The following is a 20801-nucleotide window of genomic DNA, read 5'->3' as shown; positions in this document are numbered from 1 at the left end:
TCCTGGGTTCAACCAATTCTCCTGCCTCAGCCTCCCAAGTAGCTGGGATTACAGGCGCACACCATCACGCCCAGCTAATTTTTGTATTTTTAATAGAGACAGGGTTTCAACATGTTGGCCAAGTTGGTCTCGAACTGCTGATCTCAGGTGATCCACCCACCTTAGCCTCCCAAAGTGCTGGGATTACAGGCGTGAGCCACTGCTCCCAGCCCTACCTCCCCTATTTATAGCAACCCAAAATGTCTCCAGATATTGCCAGAGGTCCCCTAGGGCACATAATCTCTCCAACTTGAGAATTACTAAGGTTACTGTGCATGACTTTAGGGGTAGATTTTCAGAGACGATAATAGGGAAGTGAAGATTATTGTTAAAATGTACTCAAAACTATTTACTTTCACATTTCATTCCTGTGAGTCAGGAAAGGAGGGATTGTGCAAAAAATTTTCCGAGAAAAACTGAGAGATGAGAGCAAGCTCTTGAGTGGGTAAATTAGCTGAAAACAAATTTCTTTATTTTTTCTTACTCAAAGTTTTTGTGGAGAATGCATCTCAAATAAAATGAACAAGAGGGTGGCTGACCCCTGGAACGGCTAGGAGGATGGCGTGAGTGAGGAGGCTGGGGTCTGGGAGAAACACAAGGAGTTAGTTTGGTTTTGGTCCTGTTGACTTTAAGAGGTTGGAGGGATCTTCAGGCATTGCGAGAACTGCATGCGTTTCTGCCTCCACTGTCTGCCAACATGTGGTTCTGGGAACAAGCAAGGCCACTTAGCCTTTCACTGGATTGTGTCTGACCTCTGGGCACCTCCCGATTCGACCTCTTATGGACGTGTTTTTCCATTTGCCGTCTTTATTATTTGCTTTGACTTTCTGTGACCATCTCTTGCTTATTGCATGTCCTGGTCATTGGCTTCCCAGCCCCCGGCAAAGCCTCTGGGAGCCTCTCTCTGGGTTCTATCTGAGACTCTAGCCAGGATTCCTTGCAGGTGACTTCCTGTGCTCCTGGGGTTATATCTCCAATAAGCTCACTCGCTCAGAGCTCTTCAGCACACTGCCCTGCCAGGTAGTTTGTTATGAGGCTAGTCTGTTTGTCTGAAACGTACTTTTAAAACAGAAATGAGTGCAGAATGTCTCTGTCTCTCTTCCCCGCTTGCCCGATCCTCTTTCCTGTCTTCTATTGTTGAAAGGCTCCAGAATTTCATGAAGCCTTTGTGTGTTAACTAACAAATATTTTATCTCACCTAATTTACCTAAATAGGAAAGATTTATCTTCTCCTTCTAACTCTCAAATGAACTTTCAGTCATTATGGGCTAGACCTTTGTTTACTGTGAGATCCCCCATCCGTATGGACAGGATTTCTCATGGCTGAGTATTTCCCCTTCTTTCAGAATGTCCTAGATTTATGTGCATGTCCGTGTTCATGTTGAGAAGGTGTGTGGTGAGATGGTGGAGGGATCCTGCTCTGCTGGCAGGTACAAGCCAAGAACACAGGTTGAAGCTCACAGGTGCAGCATGTGCTCCGACCTCCTGAAATAATGGCCACTAAAGCTGTTTTTGTTGTTTAGGCGGAGGGGTAGAAACCTAAGAGGGAAGACTGGCTTATTATTAATGGCAGTCGACATAGCAGCAGGTGCTTAGTTACTGTCTGATACTTAAAAGATTTTGAGCTTTATTGCCTACATATTTTGAACTAGATTTTTTTTTCAATCCTGAGTTCTAGTTTTTGAGTTTATATTTGTGAAATTGAGTCTTTGCTTGATCATAGAACTTTAAGGGACAGTTATTTGAAATGAAAACTTAGGCATTTAGGACCAGGGGGAGAAATGTTTGCATTTCCCTTTCTGTGATTTGGGCAGCAGCATCTATTCAGTTTTTAAAAGAGCTGTGGAGGGGAGAGAGAAAGGTATCCTGTAATTAACAACACTTCCATTAGCTGTTGCTTTTGGTTCAAGTCAGTGGGTGTTTGATTCGTGAAATAGATACTGTCCTGGAAAATTTTATAAAGCAGAATGTCTTTTTGTGAAGTTGTCTCCTCTCCCTTTACATCATAAAAATGGAAACTTGCTTCTGTAGAACATTTTCTAGTGTTCCTGGGATTCTGATAGTCTTGGACCTGAGCCTTAAATGTTCTTTACAGCATTCTGCCTCATAGAAGCTATTGGCTCCTGACTCACTTTGATTTTTGGAGTCTTAAAAGTGTCCTTTCTAGCAGGTTTTATTGTAGGGACTTGCTCTTTGTTATTTTCCATTGAACATGGCTGCCTATGTTGCGTAGACCAGTGGTTCTAAGGCTTGGGAATCGAGGAAGAGAGTATGGGTGCTGAAATTCATTGCCCTTAATTTTGAAAAACATAGAACACGTATCTTTACCCTTGTTAAAGCTACCATATTTAGGGCTAAAATACTAAATGCCTTTGCTTTTTGCAAGAAAATTTGATAGTATTCTGAATCTCATGCTACTAAAGGCTGCAGTTGGCAAATATGCCTTTGATGCATGTAAAATGGGAACATTATTATTATTTAATATATACCGTTAGGTAAATAAAACTTAGAAATTACAGAGTCTGTAGAAGGGAAATATAAAGTTATTGTTGGTAGTGTTGGTGGCTTAGGCATCTTGGGTAAAGTGGTAGTAAAACCACATCTTAGAAGGCCACCTGGGGAATGTGAACCCGTGAGGCTTTTGTATATTTCTATATATATCTCTATATTTTTTGGTAACCTGTTGCTACTTTTGAAAAGAGGTTCCAAGAGGCAACTTTGTTTTGAAACAGTAAAGAAAACAGTAAAGAAACAGCAAATTAACTTTTGCTTTTTGATTATCTTAAAGGTTGATGAAAATTGTAAATAAGGAAGGGAAAACACATGCAAGCCGGCTTTGGTCAATCAAGGAATAAATAACATGCACAATTTTACTGAATGTGAATGTCTGGTATTCTGAAAAGTCCTCCTGGTGAAGATGGCTGATAAGTGCCTTTGTAGTTGAGTGGAGTCTGAACAACCCTGTCCCGCTGGGCATTCATGGGAAAGCACTGGGCTGGGGTTAGGAAAACTAGACCTGGTCTTAGACATATCATGGAGGTGACCTTGGGCAAGTCAGGTATTTCTTTCAGTCACTTTCCTTGTTCTGAAGTGGGAACTATTCTGTCACTGCCATCTGCATTGGGAGAAATGATATATGTGAGAACACTGGAAAAAATATGTAGAGAAGGCATTTAAGTGACTATATTTTGATTGAATTAAAATTTTAAAATAAATTGTTTTTATGTGGAAGGTCCATTTAGTAGGAACATATCTCAGGAATTATAGTGTTAACTAGTAAACAAAATGACTCAAAATACAAATATTCACATGAAATATAATTGTTCAGGAATGTGTGCTTTGCAAGATTGGAAATCATCCCATTTCAGGAGCTTTTAAACATACAACTTTATTGTGTAAGGGGAAAATAATACATGATCATGTTAAGGAAGTGGACAGTGTGGAAAACTGCAAAGAAGAAACTCAAAGCTGCCTGGAGCTCTGCTCCCCGAAGGTGGCCAGCTTGAGCAGTTTGCACACTCACTACTACAACACCTTGCTCGTGGATGTGCTTTACATCCATGGAAATGTGCTCTGCATGCTGCTCTGTAATCTCCCTTTTTCCCCACTAAACTAGGTGTTGAGGGACCAGTCCTGAATTTCAGTAACTCCTGTTCCCAGGCTGCCTCCTTATTGTATAGAGGGATCCTAATATACGGAATCCTCTTTCCTTCCATGTTTTTAGGTTCCCACCTGCAATTACCTCCTTATGGTAGATCTTTGTAAGTGGGATTCTTGGGTGAAAGGATGTACACTTCTACTTTTTTTTTTTTTTTTTTTTTTGAGATGGGGTCTTGCTGTGTTGCCCAGGCCGTGGTGTGATCTCAGCTCACTGCAGCCTTGACCTCCTGGGCTCAACCAGTCCTCCCTCTGGAATAGCTGGGACCACAGGCATGAGCCACCATGCCCAGCTAATTTTTGTATTTTTTGTAGAAATGTAGTCTCTTGTTGCCCAGGCTGGTCTCGAACTCCTAGGCTCAAGTGATCTGCCCCCTTTGGCCTCCCAGAGTGCTGGGATTACAGGCATGAGCCACTCTAAATTTTGATGGATGTTACCAGAGCACCCTGGGGTGGCACACCAGTGTGTGCATTTCTCGGTTCTTAGGAGTGGAGGAACTTGGTTGCGCCTCATTCACCTCCCTTCCTGAATTTGGCTGTGTACTTCTGTTAAAAAGGGAAATGTATGGAATAATTTTTTATCCCCTTTAGCTTATAAATTCTCTTAAAAGTGAAGCTGTGGCAAGTAATACCTTGTCTATTCTATGAAAGAATTTCATTGTCTGAAGGCTCAAAGCATCAGAAAAGTGACCGGAGGCAGCAGCTGACTACATGGGAAACTGAGTAGCAGGCTCAGAGCCATTTCTGGAGTCTCAAGAGTGTCCTTTCTAGCAGGTTTTGTTGTAGGGACTTGCTCTTTGTTATTTTCCTTTGAACATGGCTGCCTACATTGCATAGACCAGTGCTTTCCAAGGCTTGGGGATAGAGGAACAGAGTATGGGTGTTGAAATTCATTGCCCTTAATTCTGAAAAACAGAACATTTTAATCAAGTGTGCTTCCTTTCCTATTACCCTTGGACCTAGTTTTCTTGGGAACATAGTCTTGAGTGTATATAGTAACTGGGTATCTGTGCCTTTTACTGAGTTCCAACATGGGGACCGGGAGGGTGAGCTGAAGATTGGGTGGGGACAGCTCCGTTCTTGCTGTTGAATAGAATCTGGCCTGTGCTGCCTGTTGGCTTAGAGCTGACGGCTCTGTGGATGATGGCAAGAAGTTACTTTCTTACATCCGTAGAATTCTGTCTCTAGCAGGCCCATGCCAAAATGATGGCATCTGAACCAGCACTGACGCTGGGGAGGCTCTGGAGGGGGCGAGGGATAAGGGATGTGGACCTAAGGGAAGGGATGGGGTGATTAACAGCCTCTAGGCTCAGTTAAGGGTCCTCTCTGCCTGGCTGGTGGGCACGGGAGCCTGTCTGAAATGGAATCACTTGAACTCTTCTGTAGTTGAGGGCCTGGGGAGTGTCAGTTTGCAGCTTGTTTCTTTCACTGCCTGCTATTGTTTGTTCTTGGCAGACCTATTCATTAAGCTTTGTGCAGCTGTGTCCAGAATTAGCCAGGTCACAAAATATATCCAGACTTCTTTCCCTCGTCTTCCTCAGAAAGTGTTAATTAAGTAAATGCCATTCATTAATCGTCCCCAAGTAAATGCTATTCTTTAATCCTCCCCTCCCCAACAATCCCTAGTGAGCTAATAAGAAAAGTGATAGCAGTGGACGTTGGCTGAATGTTTATGGACATTCAGTATGTGCTAGGGAGTGTGCCAAGTGCTTTTTGCACATAAAACCTTCTTTGCGTTTGTGCTTTTAATCTCTCTTTTTTTTTTTTTTTTTTTTGGAGATGGAGTTTCACTGTTGTTGCCCAGGCTGGAGTGCAATGGTGCAATCTCGGCTCACTGCAACCTTCCACCTCCCAAGTTCAAGCGATTCTCTTGCCTCAGCCTCCCAAGTAGCTGGGATTACAGGCATGCACCACCAGGCTGACTAATTTTGTATTTTCATTAGAGATGAGGTTTCACCATGTTGGTCAGGTTGGTCTCAAACCCCTGACCTCAAGTGATCCACTCGCCTCGGCCTCCCAAAGTGCTAAGATTACAGGTGTGAGCCACTGCGCCCGGCCTGTGCTTTTAATCTTCAAAACAACCCTATGGGGTCAGTGGTGATTGTGTCCTCCCTTTTAAAGGTAAGACGGTATGTCTTAGGGAGATTTTGCAGCTTGCTCAGCAAGTCCCACAGACGATAAGGAGCAAAGCCAGGGCTTCAGTCCAGGCTGCGGGCGCTGCGACCCAGTGTCTTCAGTGCTGAGTCTGTTGCTGAGGCTTGAGATCCAAGGAGTATTGATGAGAACCTAGCGTAGCTTTAAAAGCAAAAGTGCATCCCACTGATACAGAGTTGCTGTCATTTGCTGGAGACCTTGATCACTGGAGAGTTCTCTGGAGGAACCAGGGAGAAAGCAAAGGGAATTTGTGATGCAAATATCTGAACAAAGCCAAAACCCTTGGAAAGTTAATGGACAAAAATATGCCTTTCTTTCCATCTGTTGTCAGTTTACTATGTTGCCTTCTAGGAGGTGAAGGAAACAGCCATTCCTGTTTCTTGTAGAGGAATTTTTAAATAGAGGGAGTCGGGGTGGAGTCTTCACGGCCTCAGTTTGTTTGTGACCCAGATGCTGCTCTCACCTGGCAGGGGCTGAATCATCGGTGTGGTTTTGGTTCGGAAAGAGATTGTTTGCACGTGTAGTGGGTATGTGTGAGGAGGCATGTGTTGTTTGGTGAAAGGCATCTTAAATGACTGCCCTGGGAAGGATTGTTTAAATGGAAATCCGAGGAGGTTCCTGCTCTGATAAATCCCTCAGTGGGTCCCGCTCATCTCTCGCCCTCCCCTTCCGGGTCCATATCCCCTCTGCATGTGCCACGAGGTTGGTTGCAGGGTGGTTAGAATATCTTTCTCCTCCAAGCTGAGAGCAGATGCCCTGGTGTGGCCTCTCTTGTATCTTTGCCACCTCTCATGGTGGCCACTGGGCAGTCAGTTCTCAGGATTTCATTGGTTCCATCAAATGGGTGGTGGTTTTATGAGTTTTCAGCTTGAGTAATAAATGCTATTTATGGCATTGAAAAGTGTGATTTCTAGGAGAAGCACACAAAAAAAACTTGATCTTTTGGAAACAGATTGTCCTTTTTCTGTTCAGTTCCTTTCAATGGCTTCCTGTTGCATTTAGAATAAAATTGTATCTCTTTGCCCTGGTTTGGAAAGCTCTGAATGATCTGGTCCTTACCTACCTCCCCCACCTCAGCAAATAACACTGTGTCCTCCCTGCTAATGCCCACACCTGATCACATTGACCCTTTCTCTTTGTTTCTCAAACAAGCCAAACTTGTTTTTACCTTGAAACCTTTGCCCTGGTTTCCCCTGTGTCAGGCTTGGCCCTGTTCAGGTCTCAGCATGGTGTCCCATCCCGTTTTGTGCCTCTGCTAGCAGTTAGACCCTCCCGGCTGTGATATGCTGCTTTTTCCACGCGATGAGGGCTCCTGCCTGCCCGCCTGCTGTGCACCTGGCCCATGTCCGGTGCCAGGAAGTCACTCTTCCGGGGATGGAAGAGGAGAGCCTGGTGGAGGAACAGATACGAGCCCCTGCTCTGTGACTATCTTATTTTTTTCCCCCTTTTTCCATACACAGTGCATACTAGTGTGATCCCTTCTTACTCTGTGGCCCTTGTCCGGTGCCAGAAAGTAACTTCCCAGGATGGAAGAGGAGAGCCTGGTGGAGAAACAGACACAAGTCCCTGCTCTGTGACTATCTTATTTTACCCCCTTTTTCCACACACGGCACATGCTAGTGTGATCTCTTCTTACTCTGTAGGCCTTGGCCTGGGATTTTGTCCCTGAGGATTGCACAGTTAGAAACTAGTGGGACTGTATTGTGAAAGTCTGGATTGTGACATAGTCTCAGAGCATGGAACACAAGAATGGCATCGAGGGAGGCTCCCAGGCAGTCAGTAGAAGGGAAGAGGAGAATTAAAGGTGAGGGGAGCACTTTGGTCTGCATTTTCCAGTCTCTTCCTGCCCAGAGCCCGGGCCTCCACCTGTGCCTGAGATCCTGTTCCCCTTCCCACTCACAGACATTCCCTAAGCCACCCGATGTTCCCCAGTATAAACCAGGCCCCTCCAGGCCACACCCTGCTGGGTTATTCTCATCAGTGTTCCTGCTGTTTTCTCCTTTCCTGCAAAACACACACACACACACACACACCCTCCTCTCCTGCAAAAACACACATATTCCCTTCTCCCCTGAAACACACACATACACACACACACACACACACACACAGCCTCCCTTGACTCTTCTGCCCCCTCCAGGATTTCCTCATTTTTCTGCTCCCCTGAATAGTAGAAGCCTCTGAAAGGGTTGTTAAGCCTGGTCTCCAATCCACCTCCTCCATTCCCTTTTAAACCACACCTGTTCACCACAGCTTCTCTTGCCAAGGTCTCCCAGGGTGCCTTGTGTCAGCTCTCAGTTCTCCAACACAGTGGCTCAGCAGACTCTGACATAGATGCTCACCCTCCTGGGTTGCCATCCTCTCCTGGTTCCCTCCTCCCTCCACCTCCTGTCTCCTTTTCCCACTTCTCTTCTGTCCGACCTCCTTATTGGAGGGCCCCCCTGGGGCCTGGGCTTTTCCGCTTTGGCAGGCTCACACAGTAGCATGGCTTTAATGTGCTAATGAATCCTGGATTGTCACATCCTGGCCAGAAAGACCTCTGTCCTGAACTGGCTCTTGTATCCCTGAGGCTACATCACAGTTAGATGTCCAGTAGGCTTCTCACCCTAACGTGGGAAACACACCTGCTCCCTCTGCATGTCCCCATCTCAGCAGATGGCAGTTCCATTCTCCCAGCTGCTCAGGCCAAAAGCCTGGGGGTTGTGCTCCTCTCTTCTCTTGCTCTCATACCCACATCCAGTCCACCAGGACATTCTGTGGGCCTAACTTTCATAATGTCAGAATCTCACCAATTTTTTACCATGTCTACTGCTGCTCCCCTGGTTGGAGCCTCCATCTTCTCTCGCGTGGTCCCCTCCTGCCCCCGACAGCATATTCTCACCATAATAGAGTGACATTTTAAAGTCAGATGGGGTCAGTCCGTATACTCTGTTTAAACCCTTCAAGGGCTGATTACACTGCCCCATTTTAAGACTTAGGATATGGCTGCAGTTGTCAGGAAAGTGTAGTTCTGGCAGAGGGACACATACGTATGTCCATGTAGCAGAATAGAGAGGCCAGAGATAGACTCGCACAAAGATTTCCACCTCATTGTTGACAGAGATGGAAAAGCAAGTCGATAGAGGAAGGATAGCCTTTTCAGCACATAATTCTGGAACAACTGGACATCAATAACCAAAAACATAAACCTTGACTGAAACCTCACACCTTATGCCAATTAACTCAGAATGGATCATAGATCTAAATATAAAATGTAAAACTTTTTTTTTTTTTTTTTGAGACAGGGTCTTACTCTGTCACTCAGGCTGGAGTGCAATGGCATGATCACGGTTCACTGCAGCCTCCACCACCTGGACTCAGGTGATTCTCCAACCTCAGCCTCCCAAGTAGCGAGGACTACAGGTGTGCACCACCATGCCTGGCTAATTTCCCTTTTTTTTTTTTTTTGTAGAGACAGGGTTTTGCCGTGTTGCCCAGCTGCCAGCTGGTCTCAAACTTCTGAGGCTCAAGTGGTCTACCTGCCTTGGCCTCCCAAAGTGCCAGGATTACAGGCATGAGCCACTGCACCTGGCCGACATGTGAAACTTTTTAAGGTGACTTAGGATTAGGCAAAGAATTCTTAGATGTAGTAGAAATGTGATCCATTTTCAATTCTTTGCACTGGAAGGTTATTCCCCCCAAATAACATATGGTTCCCTGCCTCACCTCCTTTGAGTACTCACTCACTATCACCTCAACACTATCACCTGACCACCGTATTTAAGCCTGGATATTACCCCAGCCCCCTGCACTGCTGAGCCCAGTTATGCTGCTGAGTTTTTCCCTGTAGCATGTATTACCTTGTAACATACGGTATAATGTACTCATTTATTAGTTTTTGCTTCTCTGTGTCCTTCCACTAGAAATGTATGCTCTGTGAATGCAGGACTTTTTCTCTTTTATTCACTGATAAATCCAGTTTTTAGAACAATGCTGGCACATAGAAAGGACTAAATAGTTATTTATTGATTGAATAAGAATTAAAAGTTTATAAATATAAAATACTAGAAAGCTGATGTGGAATGGCTGCTGGGTGACATTGAATAATTTTCTGATACCTTATTTTATTTCTCCTTTGTCTCACCTGCATATTTCAACCCAGTTTATTATGATTAAACATGAAAGAGAGGCCTAGTTATTTGGCATTGAGAGGAAAAAAAACAAAAGAGAGAGATGGGCACATGCCACTGTCAATCCTGCTTTCTTTCCACCTCTGGGCTGAGCGTAGGCTATTCTATTATCTCTTTTGTTTTTTATTTATTTTTATTTATTATTTATTTATTTTTGAGACGGAGTCTCACTCTGTCGCCCAGGCTGGAGTGCAGTGGCACGATCTCAACTCACTGCAACTTCTGCCTCCCGGGTTCAAGCAGTTCTCCCTGCCTCAGCTTCCTGAGTAGCTGGGATTACAGGTGGCTGACACCATGCCTGGCTAATTTTTGTATTTTTTAGTAGAGACAGAGTTTTGCCTTGTTGGCCAGGCTGATCTCAAACTCCTGACCTCAGGTGATCCGCCTGCCTTGGCCTCCCAGAGTGCTGGGGTTATAGGCGTGAGCCACCGCGCCCGGCCTTGTCTCATCTTTTGGCCATTCCAGCTTAAGATAGATCGTAGTTAGAGTAACAGCCTCTCTTAGGTCATCACTCATCTACCACTGGGCCCCCAGTTTTGGTGGCTTGCATATTCCTCTGAGGACATCGGGTTGCATTGGGTTACAAAGCAGGAGGTAAGCTGTGGCAGCTCTGGGCCTGGCAGGACTGGTGCCACAGTGCCCTCCTGCTCTTGTCCCTCAGAAGCAGGCCTGTCCCTGGTCCTTCCCTGTACCCCAAGGTCATCATGTCAGAATTGGTGGCTTATGTACTCTTCAGAGATTAGAGGAAGAATTAGCACACCTGCTTTATTTTATCCAATGAGACAAGTGTAGTAATGGTAGAAGTTGAAATACTGGTCAGGGCATAGTGACCAAAATTTGGTTACCAGTACGTTTTAGACCAAACATTTACTAATTCAGTTCTAAAAGTAATTAAGAAGAATTTTGTTTCTCTTTTTCAAGAAGAGGAAATTCTAACAGCATTCTGCAGGATGATTGCCAGCTCACAGGCTGTGCATAAGACCTGTCTGCCCTTGGCCTAACTAACCTTTAAGAACCATCTCATGTAGAAATGTCTATTATTTTTATCATAGGATGTTTCTGTGAATGTGTGCCATTTGGTTCTGTGATTCAGGAGAATCCAGCCAGTTGATTAAATCCAGAGATAACTTTTGAAGATGAAGGAGAGGTGGTGAGAAGGGGGTCCCTTGGGTTTGGTGCTGGAATTGGCCTTCAGCAATTTACAAAGGCCAGGAACTGTGCCAGGGACTATACATAGTCTCTGTGGCAATATAAAATGGGGATGAGGAAGAAGGAAAAGTGAACTGATCTTTCTCGAACATCTCTTACTTGCCACGGAGTCTGCTAATTAATTCACTTAATCCTGCAGATGGGTAGCTGCCAGATAGACTGTGCCTGAGGGACTCAGGAATCATCTGGACTTAGACCCCTGTTAGCAGATCTCAGCGAAGTGGCTCTCCTCTCAGTACACACAGTGGTCAGGAGACTTGGCGTGGAGTCAGGCGGCCTGCGTTCATTCCCCAGGGCCTCCCCTAACTGGCTCCGTCACCTCTGTCTGTAAAGTGGGGATAGTAATGGTAATGCCTGCCTCTTGGGCTTATGAGCTTTAGAAGGGTCCACACAAGTGCTCAGAATACTTCCCTATACACAGTGAGCATTTATTAGATGTTACCCACTGATATTCATCATTATTTGTCCCTAGACTTTTTCCCTGGCTGCTAGAGTGGAAAGGAGAGAAATTGAAGGCATTTGTTCAGGCTGTGAAATGCAGAGATCTTCGGCAGAAACTCCAGGTGCTCTCTTCCAGTCTGGGCTTTCTGGGTTAATTTCTCACTGGAGACCCAAGCCCTCACCTGAGCCATATAAAGTTACCCCTGTATCCTCCATGACACCGTTGTGTTCTGCCTCAGGGCCTCTATGTGTCTGTGTCCCGGGCTTGGGATGCCTCCCCTTGCTCACCTGGCGAGCTCCTGCTGAAATGTTCACACAGAGTCTAAGCGTTGCCTCCTGAGTGACCCCTCCTGGGCCTTTTCTCTGCCTCACACTCCTGGGAGAGTTAATCCCTCCATCTTTTGTGCCATGACTCCTGCACCTGATGCTCGCCACATTTAGCTATCTGTTTACATGTCAGTTTCCTTACTAGACTCTAACTTCTTGAGGGTGGGGCCATGACTTTGCCATTTTGGTAGCAACAGAGCATGGCTTGGCATTCATCAGATGTTTGAATGAGTTTGTGGGTCCCATAGGCAAGCTGGGTGACTGCCAGAGGGGCCTCTTTAGTTTCATGCCATGACCTTCTAGGTGAAATGGGAAGTAATTCCATCAAGGCTTATGGGGATACAGTGAGAGGGTGGATATGAAGCCCCGAGTTGGTGCCCCATGCAGATGCTGGCCCCTCCACAGAGTCCAGAATGGAGCAGGACAGAAGTCTGATGAACTCAAACCAACTTTGAGGCCATCACCCTTTCCCGTCTTAGAAAAACAGCATCCAGAAATGATAGGAAATGTTTGGTCAGGGCATCTTGTTATCTTATTCTAAATCTTGCATCAATTGTTCATTCTCCAAACTCTTTTGAATTGTTTTCATTTTGGGCTTAACTATTGCAGATAAGCTCTTTAAATTAAAGGTTGTTTTTGCCTACTTGTTGTTTATGGACAATCTCTGTACTCCACCTTTTTTGGTATGTTAAGCATTTGGAATGAAAGATCCTGTTTAAAACTCCAGAATGGATGGACTTCAGTCACTTAGCATTGCATTTAGGTGAAAAGGGTTTTTTGTTATGGTTGTCTTTCTCGAACTTCTCTTACTTGCCAAGGAGTCTACTAATTAATTATATGACTTAATCCTGCAGATGGGTAGCTGCCAAACAGACTGTGCCTGAGGGACACGGGAATCATCTCGACTTAGACGCCTGTTAAAGTGGCTCTCCTCTTAGTACATACAGTGGTTAGGAGACCTGGTGTGGAGTCAGGCGGCCTGCGTTCATTCCCCTGGGTTCGGTTCATTTTTGCTTGGTTAAGCAAACCCTCCGAAGGCATGACTTTGACCTGCTGCAGATTGTCATATTGTAGTGTCGTTTTGCATACGCTTTTGACTGTTTAATAGTGACAACCTTGTAGTCAAGTGGAACCCTGACAGAAGGGTGTGTGTGTGTGTGTGTGTGTGTGTGTGTGTGTGCTGAATCTTTTGTACTTCGTAAGACCCAGAAAGGCAGGGCAGATGACAAAATTTCTTGAGGTTTAGAAGTCTGTGAAGTTTTCTCCCAAATTCTCAAAAGGGAAATTTATGAAGAAACTTTATTTTTAAGACATCTTTTTATATTTAAAGATACTTTGTTCAGAAATGTAAAAATGGTCACTTTATTTGCATGTTCAGAAAAAAAGGTGGGGGGAACTGAACTCTCAAAGTCAGAAAGCAGGGTTCCCGTCCCACCTCCCTCGTGAGCTATCAGTGTGGCACTGGGCTTCATTCCTCTGCGTCCCATTTTCTCTGTCTGAAAATTTAGGATGTTGAGTCTCTGAAGGTCCTTTGCACCTCTAAGCCTCTGGGATTTTTCACCTTCACCCTACCGTTTGGAGTCAAGATCTCCAGGTCAGTTGCCTGGTTTTGATGCCAGGCTCACAGAGGAGGTGGAGGATAGTGGGCTGTGCAGGAAGCTGAGGGAGTTAAGTATTAAGGCTGGAGCTTGTGTTGGGTCGAGGGGGAGAAATGGGGTTGGAGACGCCTCTGGGCTGGGTCAGATCCCGGTGCCGCGCTGGTGTTGGGGTATCTGGTCTGCGCACCGCCGGGTCCTCCCTGGCCACCCTACTGTGTGGCGACGGCTCCTCCAGCATGTTCTTCAAGCCTCTCCTTTTCAGCTTCTTCATCTTTATTTATCTGCTCTATTGATCCACATCCTAACTATTCTAAAGGGGCTGAGGTTATTTTTTAATAGCTCCCGCTTTTCCAGACTCTGCTGTGTTCAGGCAACAATTCGGATGCCCCTTCATGTTCCTCTTGTTGCTTGCTGCATGTCAAACCCTGATTGGTAGGAAGCTTCTCGAGGCTCGGACTGTGTATTCGTGAGTTTCAGATGCTTCTGCATGTTTACACAGGTCACTTTTCTTGACTAAATGATTGATGTAGTAATTAGGATTAGGCTCAGGAGATCCTCTAATAACTGGCTTAAGCGGGACAGGAGTTTATTTGCCCTAAAGAAGTGATCTTTGCCACCAGAGCTGTGTGATAACTGCATCCCGCTCCCTTCTCGGCCTGTCCTGGGGACAGCCTCATCCTGGTGCTCGGAGGCGGTATCTCAACTCCAGGCAGCAGGATGAAGGAAGACAGGGCACAGAGGATCCACCACTCCAGAAGGAAGACTTCTGGAAGATTCTTCCATTCCATGAGCCAGAGTTTAACCACATGAGATATGTAGCTGCAAGGAGGCTGGGAAGTATCTGTAACATCTTTCTTTGTTGGCCATTCCCAGCTCAGAGTTTTAAGTATTAGGGAGGAAAGGAGAAACAGACATTGGAGCAATGAACAATTCCACCCCCGTCCCCCTCACCTGATTTGTTCAGCGAAGGGTACCTCCTGTGCTGCACAGGTGTTGACGCTCTCTTCGAGAAGTTCCAGAGGCATTTGATTTAGCTGCAGAAATTCTCCACCGTAGGTTTTTGAGGAGGGTACAAGAAATGGTCAAAACAGTACTTGAGGATGAGATCCCAGCAGCAATATATGCAAGGGACAAAAGTGGGGTAAGGATTGGAGTGAGGAAGACCAGCTGGCGGCTGCAGCCAGAGGCCCTCCCTGGTTTCCTTTACAGGAACGGAAGCCTCTGCTGTCAATTGAGCCAGACTATTAACCTTTGACTTTGAGATTTTATAACTTGTTTCTGCAAGGCCACTAAAATGTAGCAAATTTAGGAGTTAAGGGCAACGTTAGACAAAAATATTATTCTGTATCAAGCTTAAGACAATCTCATTTGACCTAGTTATTTGAAGAATATAGCTGGCAAAGACAATTCCAAAAATATAGTGTATACCCATTTTTACTTTCTGGGTAGAGTATCTAAGGAACTATAAAATGGCCCTAGAAACAACAGGAATGAAGAATGGGCCTGGTAATTGTTTTCACCCAGTGACCAGCTTCTGAATAAGTAACAGTTATAGACTGCAAATTTAAACCTAGAGTGACTGATTTTACCCACAGCATTTTCTTTCTCCTTACGATTATTGCCTTCACACTAAGAATTTATTATTTATTGAAATCATCTGTATCAAGTAGCATCAAATTTATTTTATCTTGCCAGTTTTTATAGATCCACTTTTAGTGTACACTCTTAAGTAGAAAATAGAATTTTCTTGCAGTTTTAAAAATCCTTTATACTGTGGAATCTCTAATAATACATTTATTTAGCATTTCTCTTTGGCCTCATTCTAAAAAGAAGTGGAAACATCGCTCGTTGTGTATATTTTCTCATTTTTGGCCTCAACATACAAACCCATCCCAAGATCATGTCTTTATTGATTGTACTTATTTTACAGCTGACTGTGACATATTCGCACTATTGTGCTATTATAAATCACCTTCTGCTATTTTACTCTGCTATTCATTTTTTCTTGTATGGGAAAGTGGACTCCTTATTTTCATTTCAGCCACGTGTGCACTCTCTCGCTGTTACTTATTACTGAAGTAGGGAGCATTTGGGAACTGGAGAATGGCGTGCAAATGAAGAAGGCCTTCTAGGGATTGGCTGTGCCATGTGAACAGTCCTGGGCGTGCCATCCATGGAGCATGCCAATATTGCCCAGAAGTTTTGGGTCAGCTTCTTTTTTGTGTGACCTTGGTGGAAACCACTGAGCTCCATGGTATTAAGTGGGCCACGTGTCTTCTCAGCGAGGTTCTTATGTAGGTATGAAGGAAGGAAGCCTGTTGTGATCCCCGGGGGAGCTGTGAGTGTAGAGCTGGCTCTGAAAGCCTTGGCATCTCTCCTGCAGGAAGAATCCCAGGAGCAGGTGAATCCCACCTGCATTGAGCATTTTTTCAGTTTAAAGCAAATCCTTACTGCTAGAGTATATTTAGAAAGAGGCAGGGCCAGGGCCGTGGCTAGGCCAGCTTCGTAGGTGATGAGCTCTGTGTTGGCCATCAGCCTTAAGTGTGTTGATTTTTCACAGCAGGTCACTCAGCAGTGTTTATCTGAAAATACTGGCTTGGTGCTATTAATTAAGGATGAAATGAAAAGCTTGTTTCTGTGTTAGCATTGTCTAAAGGACTGTAAATAGTGCTTAATTCATTATGGATATTTGGTGCCCAGTGAAGAATAATTTACCAAGTTTGTAAGAACAGTATTTTCTTCCTTTTTAAACTCTTTTATTTCTTAGGAAACCAGGGCTGTACCTCTTAGATCATTGAATAGTGCAGAGGTGCAGGAAGTGCCGTTTATTGGGATGACTGGTGTTGGGCAGAGGGGTGACCTTACCCTCCAGTCAGTCACTCAGCACACAGGGGCTTCTTCCCTTGACTGTCTTCCTAGCAAAGATGACCTCGTCTTTCCTTGAAGATATTGATACCATTCAGCTAACACTTCATTTTCTGCCATATTTGTGTTCCTTTCATTTTTGTGTGTACGTATTTGGTGGACCGTTGACCTTGATAAATCCTCAGCTTTACAAGTACAATTACAACTGTGTTTCTCACATTACATGAAGTGTAACTGAAAAGGTTCAGACAACAGATTTTTAATGATAGTAAAAACAAGGACTAAAGCCATAAAACACTCTTGTTTTGTTTTGTTTTGTTTTTGCAATGGAGTCTCGCTTTTGTCGCCCAGGCTGGAGTGCAGTGGCGTGATCTCAGCTCACTGCAACCTCTGCCTCCCGGGTTCAAGCAATTCTCCTGCCTCAGCCTCCCAAGTAGCTGAGGATACAGGCGCCCACCACTACACCTGGCTAATATTTTTGTATTTTTAGTAGAGACGGGGGTTTCACCATGTTGGCCAGGCTGGTCTTGAACTCCTGACCTCAGGTGATCTGCCCACCTCGGCCTCCCAAAGTACTGGGATTACAGGCGTGAGGCACTGTGCCCGGCCGCCATAAAACTCTTAATTTATATTAAATTAGTGTAAATAAGAGAAACTCTGCTTGCAAGTGTTCTTTGCCTTGTCATTATCCAGACAGGAACTTCTTCACTTTACCTCTTGTTAGAAATACCAGAATTGTTAGAAATAGATAATTGGTACCACGAGGAACCGTCAGCGTGGAGACAAAAGATCTCTCAGCAAAGCAATCTTTACTTTCTGCAGAAAGGGTGCTCAATGGCAGATGGAACAATGACGAGAGCACACCTGAACAAAGGAAAAGCAGACATATTTATCCCTTACACATTTGGGTCGTCCTTACTGCTGTGTCCTGCATCCATTGGCTGGAGCAGGACCACACACTCTTAAACTGATACCCAGTTTGCTAATCGCCTAAAACTTTCCTAAATAGGTAAGTGCAAAGAAGAACAAAAAAGTTGCTTAGGAAAGGTTTAAGGAAGCAATAACAATTCCAAATGAGAAAGGGGCATAGGCTGTGAGCTGGAACGTGTCTGTGAGCATGTCCAACAGTTACATAGGATAGGGCTTAGCAAAGAGTTATTAGCACAAAGCAAGGAGGCTTGAAGAAAGTTAGTCTTTAAAATAATCTTTTATTTCTAACACTTATGATTTATTCTTTAACAAGAAGGGGAGCTTTAAAGAGGAAACTTTTTACTTTCTACATCTCTTTATGCCTTAGGGTTGGCAAGATGGTGAAACAGGTCAGGCTTGATCCTAAAACCTGCCACAGAGTCATAGGAGACTCATTTGGTCCTTGGCCATCTTCAGCTTTTATGTTGGCCTCTCCTTGCATGAGTCAGTTGACAGTAGCGTATTATGCCAGAGTAGTTTTGTTTGTGGCAAACTCTTGTTCTGGAGATAGTTTGCACACAAGGTAACTACAGTTAATGTTAATGTATTGTGTAGTTGAAGATTGCTGGGAAAATACATCTTAAGTGATCTCACCGCACACACAGACACACACACACACACACACACACGATAAGTACATGAGGTGATGGATATGGTGATTAGCTTGATTGAATCATTTCACAATGTATATGTGTATCAAAGCATCACACTGGATTCCTTACAGATAAACAATTTTTATTTCTTAAGTATACCTTGATTAATCTGGGGAACATTTTTAAAAATTAAAAAAGATAAGGTGAGAATCATCAAACTGCACTGTGGGATGAGGGCTGGAGAGTCAGAGAGGTACCCGTGGTAGCTATGGGGCTCGTTCATTCCTGCCCTCAGGGAAAGTCACTCAAATCCACACTTCAGTGATATCTCAGCTGCTGTGAGTTTAGGACCCATTGGGTCATCTGTAGACAGTCAGAACTACGAGGCTGTCTCAGGGAAGGCCAGAAGTCTCTTCTGTGCTATTTCTTTATCCCCAAATGAACTGTATGCTTCTTCAAGATTGGATCACATTGATTTCTCATGTACTTTTTTCTGTCCCACACAATGCCTTGCACATAGTAGACAGTAAAATATTTTGATGAACTGAATCAGACAGCAGTTAAGTACAAAATCATGTGATCTGAATGGGAAGAACTGTTAGAGCTCCGGAAAAGTAGAGTGCTATGAACTGGAGGAGTTGGAATGAGAGGGAAAGTTCCCATCAGCCACTGAACTGGTTATATATAATAGTTACAAAACCAATGTGTAAGAATGATCTGTGCTTATCTCATTTATTTATCTAATGAATACTTATGGGTATTGAACTAAGAGTTAGAGAAACAGTGATGAACGAGACAGATCCATGAATCTTAGAAACAAATTGATATGAAATGTCGCTGTCACTAGGTGTGCTCCAGGGAGTCCTCTAGGACCTCCCTCGATACCAAACCCCGAAGGTGCTCAAGTCCCTGATGTAGAAGGATGTAGTATTTGCATATAACCTATATGCATCCTCCTGAATATTTTAAATCTAGATTACTTATAATACCTAATGTAAATGTTAGATAAGCAGTTATACTGTATAGTTTAGAAAATATTGACAAGAAAAGAAGCCTGCTCATGTTCAGTACAGAAGCAGTTTTTTTTCCTGGATATTTTCCATCCATGGTTGGTTGAATCTATGGGTAAGGAACCCATGGATATGAGAGCTGACAATAATTGTAGGTAGTGACAAGTACTGAGAGGGAAATACAGCAGTAAAGGATAAAGGCAATAGTGTGGGGACACAGGCAGCCTGCTTTCATTAATTATTTAACTTAATGAATGATGGGGTCTTGCTCTGTTGCCTAGGCTGGAGTGCACTGATGCAGTCATAGCTCACTGCGACATTGAACTTCTTGCCTCAAGCAATCCGCCCACATTGGTCTCCCAAAGTGTTGGGATTACAGGCGTCAGCCACCACACCCAGGCAGGCTGCTTTAGATGGGGAAATCAGGGGAGGGCTCTGAGGTGTTAACGTTTGAGCAGAGCATAAGTGAGGTGATGGATGAAATCTTGTAAAGGTCTGGGACACCAGCATCCCAAGCAGAAGGCAGATGTTGGGTTCTGAGATGGGGACCGAGTGTGGCCAGCTTGAGGGCCTGCCAGAGGCTGTGCGGCCATGACCATGAGCAAGGGCCTTGTAGGACATGGCAAATACTGGATGTTTGTTAACAGCAGTGGGAACGTGTTACTGTTAGAATATCACTGAAGGCATCTGTTTCATCTCTGAAACTCCCCTACTTTATCTTCTACCTCTGCATCACCATTACTGCCACCCCTCTAGACTACGCAAGCATGATCCTTTCCCAGGGTACCATAATCAGCTTCTAAAAGTCTTCATGGCATGGCGATCTCAGGGGAACTGATGCTAGGGAGGATGGGAGACCAGCTCAGTGACAATTGCTGTTGTCCCTGGGTGGTAGCAGGGGAAGTGGTGAGAGGTGGTTAGATTCTCAGTCTGTTTTGAAGGTTGCCAACTGGATTGGCTGATGGAATAGATGAAGAAAGAAAGAGGAATAAAACTTGACTCCTAGGCTTTTGGCTGCAGCAACTGGGTGTGTGGTGGCAGCATTTCCCATGAATGAAAGACTGGAAGGAGTGTATTTTGGGGGGGAAAGTGAGACATGCCATTTGGTCCTGTTACGCTGGAGTGTGCATTAGCTATGGAGTGGAAGTACTGAGTAGCTGCTGTGTGTGGGAGGGACCTGGGGCTCTTCCACTGCTTTCCTTGGCTGACAGATGATTCTCTAAGTGGGGAGACTTGATAAGATCATCAGGAGAGCCAACGCAGATGGAGGAGGGGTGAGGACCAGGGACTGAGCCCCAGGGTGCTCCTGTGTTTAGACACGTAGACGATCAGGAGACTGTGGTGGCCGAGAAGGTTGGATGAACACAAGCGCAGCCTGTTCCCCTGGAAGTCAAATAAAGAAGGCAATTCAAGGAGAAGAGAACCACTGTGCAAAATTCTGCTGCGAACTTTTATGTGTGAGCTGTATAAAGCCATGGAGCGACAGGAGCTGGGAGCCGACATTACTGTTTACAATGCAGGGGTGTACTGTGTCTTCCTGAAAGTCACTTAGTATTGGGTAGGGGTGTGGCAGTTAATGTCTTCTGAATTTAGACTGTGCCGACCTTCAATCTTTTAAAGCATATTTCCTGTTTATTTTCCCATAGCTAACCTTTATAGATGCAAAAAGCAAAAGCCATTTCCAGTTATTGTATTGGTATTCCCTGGGTTGTATCTGGGGATTCTCATATGCTGTCGAGAACAAGGTATATTTGGGTAACTTACAAAGTG

The 20801-nt window shown here is 44.6% G+C and overlaps 1 protein-coding gene across 4 annotated transcripts in view, besides 5 other annotated features; it reads left to right on the top strand.

Moving 5' to 3' along the window:
• The window catches only part of CYB5A (cytochrome b5 type A), a 41118-nt gene that overhangs the window by 2259 nt on the left and 18058 nt on the right, over nucleotides 1-20801 (top strand). The window lies entirely within an intron of this gene.
• Nucleotides 3651-3820: an enhancer, noted in NCBI's record as "experimental_50293 CRE fragment used in MPRA reporter constructs". NCBI's record gives its function as "activates a minimal promoter by MPRAs in K562 erythroleukemia cells, with activity observed for both the introgressed and non-introgressed 18:71953205 variant alleles {active_cell/tissue: K562}" and the evidence as "EXISTENCE:reporter gene assay evidence [ECO:0000049][PMID:34662402]".
• Nucleotides 8099-8626: an enhancer, noted in NCBI's record as "OCT4-NANOG-H3K27ac-H3K4me1 hESC enhancer chr18:71948314-71948841 (GRCh37/hg19 assembly coordinates)". NCBI's record gives its function as "activates a minimal SCP1, AML or CMV promoter by ChIP-STARR-seq in naive H9 embryonic stem cells {active_cell/tissue: H9 hESC(naive)}" and the evidence as "EXISTENCE:reporter gene assay evidence [ECO:0000049][PMID:30033119]".
• Nucleotides 13552-13721: an enhancer, noted in NCBI's record as "experimental_50279 CRE fragment used in MPRA reporter constructs". NCBI's record gives its function as "activates a minimal promoter by MPRAs in K562 erythroleukemia cells, with activity observed for both the introgressed and non-introgressed 18:71943304 variant alleles {active_cell/tissue: K562}" and the evidence as "EXISTENCE:reporter gene assay evidence [ECO:0000049][PMID:34662402]".
• Nucleotides 20429-20598: an enhancer, noted in NCBI's record as "experimental_50263 CRE fragment used in MPRA reporter constructs". NCBI's record gives its function as "activates a minimal promoter by MPRAs in K562 erythroleukemia cells, with activity observed for both the introgressed and non-introgressed 18:71936427 or rs4891537 variant alleles {active_cell/tissue: K562}" and the evidence as "EXISTENCE:reporter gene assay evidence [ECO:0000049][PMID:34662402]".
• Nucleotide 20513: a transcriptional cis regulatory region, noted in NCBI's record as "Neanderthal adaptively introgressed variant 18:71936427 (GRCh37/hg19 assembly coordinates) or rs4891537 in the experimental_50263 CRE". NCBI's record gives its function as "modulates activity of the experimental_50263 enhancer by MPRAs in K562 erythroleukemia cells {active_cell/tissue: K562}" and the evidence as "EXISTENCE:reporter gene assay evidence [ECO:0000049][PMID:34662402]".

The sequence above is a fragment of the Homo sapiens genome, chromosome 18, assembly GCF_000001405.40.
Source record: "Homo sapiens chromosome 18, GRCh38.p14 Primary Assembly".
Classification (NCBI taxonomy): Eukaryota; Metazoa; Chordata; class Mammalia; order Primates; family Hominidae; genus Homo; species Homo sapiens.
Note: the sequence above shows the minus strand (reverse complement) of the source record. Positions and strands in the feature narration are given on the sequence as shown.